Source organism: Homo sapiens, chromosome 1, assembly GCF_000001405.40.
Source record: "Homo sapiens chromosome 1, GRCh38.p14 Primary Assembly".
In the NCBI taxonomy this organism is placed as follows: domain Eukaryota; kingdom Metazoa; phylum Chordata; class Mammalia; order Primates; family Hominidae; genus Homo; species Homo sapiens.
This window is the reverse complement of record NC_000001.11, coordinates 115,431,373-115,433,921: the sequence shown is the minus strand read 5'-3', so window position 1 is coordinate 115,433,921 and position 2,549 is coordinate 115,431,373. Positions and strand designations below refer to the sequence as shown.

Below are 2,549 nucleotides of genomic sequence, written 5' to 3'. Positions count from 1 at the left end.
AACGTTCTCAAGGTCACAGTCTGGAGATGAAACCAGGCAGTATTGGCTCCAGAGTCTGTGCCTGTAGCCTCTGTAAGTACTACTTCTTCCTTCTTCATGTAAGAAAGTTTCTGGAATTAGGGAAACATATTTGACATGCTAAGTGCATTCCCATCTCAGGACCTTTCGCTGGCCGTTCCCGTTGCTGGAGTGCGCTTTCCTAGGTCTCGGCTTGCCAGGCTCCTTGTCATCATTCATGTCTTGGCTCACTCATGCTTCTTGGAAATGCTTTCCCTGACCCCAAGTCAAAGCAGCCCTCTCTACTGGAAGCCCCAGCCTCTTCGGCCCATTTTTTAAAATTTTAGTTCCTTTGGAGTGCCTTTCACTGCCAGAAATTGCCCTGTTTCTTTATTTATTCTCCCCCCACTGACTAGAATGTAAGTTCCATGACTGGTGTAACTGTTCTACATCAGATAACGCCTGGCACAGAGTTCAGTGCTGTATTAGTCCATTTTTTCACTGCTGATAAAGGCATACCCAAGACTGGGAAGAAAAATAGGTTTAGTTGGACTTACAGTTCCACATGGCTGGGGAGGCCTCAGAATTATGGCAGGAGGCCAAAGGCACTTCTTACATGGTGGCAGCAAGAGAAAATGAGGAAGATGCAAAAGCAGAAACCCCTGATAAAACCATCAGATCTTGTGAGACTTATTCACTACCACGAGAACAGTATGGGGGAAACCGCCCTCATGATTCAAATTATCTCCCACTTGGTCCCTCCCACAACAGGTAGGAACTACAGGATTATAATTCAAGATGAAGTTTGGGTGAGTACATAGAGCCAAACCATATCAGGTGCTCGATAAATACTTGTTGAATGAACAAATGGAGCCTATTAGTAATGATTTTGTCTTGAGCACCAGTTATAATGATGATAACACAGCAGCAGCACCAATAGTACTAATTGGTACTATTAAGTGTTTATTATAAACCACATATTGTGCTAAATATGTGAAGTAGACACTGTTATTGCCCCATTTTGCAGAGGATGAAACTAAGACTTAGAGCAGGTACATGTTGCTGGTGTCACCATGAAGCCAAGAAGCCCTCAAGAACATATGTATATGCCAAAGTGTAGAGGATGAATTTACTGTTATTGAAGCAAAGGCCGCAGGCAATCCCTGCACACCACGGTGAGCCTCTGTGCCTCCTGGGGCTTCCATTTCCCTCTCAGAGGTAAGCAAGTGAAAACAACTAGCACCCGTGACTAGTGGGCAGTTGGAACTCAATAAATATATCTTTCCTTCCTCCATTCCTTGGTGCAACTCATCCAGTATTTATCCCCTCAAAACGTCCTGTGATCTCTGAATGTTTGAATTCCATAGCCTCAAATTATGCCCCAAACTATAGGTCACCTGTGGCCAGATGGCTCGGTCTTTGGTGTCATTAGAGAAAGGATGACTGAAAAGTACGAGGGAAAAGCAAAGACCAGGACAAAGATTTCAAGGAGGGAAATAGAAACAGAGTGTGTGGGAGGAGAGGATGTTGCAAGAAGCAAGAAGGATATAGCAGGAAGAGCCTCAGCTGAGGAAAAAACAGTGCTGTCCACAGAGGTCATGGAGGACTCCACGTGGAAGGGAGTGCCTGGGAAGGGTGTGGCATTAACTGGCTGACGTTGCTGCAAGCCTGCAGGGCTCTTGTCCTCGATGGGACACTTAGGAGCAGATCGGGGACTTGAGTACAGTGCATCCAGCAGAGCAGTGGCCCAGCTGCACCTGGCAGGAAAGCCCTGCCCTGGAGCACCAAGGAGCACAAGGGTGAGGAGGCTGCGGAGCCCTGGTCAGGAGCCGGGGTGCCCAGTATTGGTGTCTGGTCCTGCCCTCATGCCCCTGACGCCACACTCAGCTGCTTTTCAGCTCAGGGAACACCTATCAGGCCCCTCTATTTCAGGAGACTTTCCTGGGTGATGAAAGCGTGAAGTAATAGCCAGCATTGGAGGTCGGTGGGCTAATCAGGTTTGAGGGTTTACTTATTTCACAGAATGACTGTGGTAAATGCACAGATTTCTGTTTTCTATAGGAGGGAGATATGGAGAAAACTAAGCATCACTTATGAAGCGCAGGTCCCTTCTCCCTTCAGGCACAGAACACTTGAGACAGCCAACATTCTCGCGAAGCACCGCCATGGGAGGGTGAATGGCACACATAGCGGAGGGTCTGTACAGGTCAGTGGTGACGGGCCCTCCCAAGGGCTCTGCTGCAGCGGGCTTCAGTCTGCACTTTGACAAGATCTCCATCTCAGGTAATCCCTGTGCACATTCAAGTCTGAGAAGCGCTGAGCTAAAACATTACCACTTTTCAAAAGCACTTTTTGAAACCCCAGGCAGAAAAGTCCTCAGATTTTCACTCACATACACACAGAGATCTCCACGCGCTTGATAACCATCATTCAGTCATGCTTGGGGTTCTTATGAAGGAGAATACATCTAATTATGCTCAGGCTAAACTTCAGTGTTCCCTAAAATCCTAATCTCAATCTTTCTCTCTTTACTTCTTCTTTTGAATTTAATT

The 2,549-nt window shown here is 46.9% G+C and overlaps 1 annotated feature.

Moving 5' to 3' along the window:
* Positions 1,815 to 2,315: an enhancer, noted in NCBI's record as "H3K4me1 hESC enhancer chr1:115974228-115974728 (GRCh37/hg19 assembly coordinates)". NCBI's record gives its function as "activates a minimal SCP1, AML or CMV promoter by ChIP-STARR-seq in primed H9 embryonic stem cells {active_cell/tissue: H9 hESC(primed)}" and the evidence as "EXISTENCE:reporter gene assay evidence [ECO:0000049][PMID:30033119]".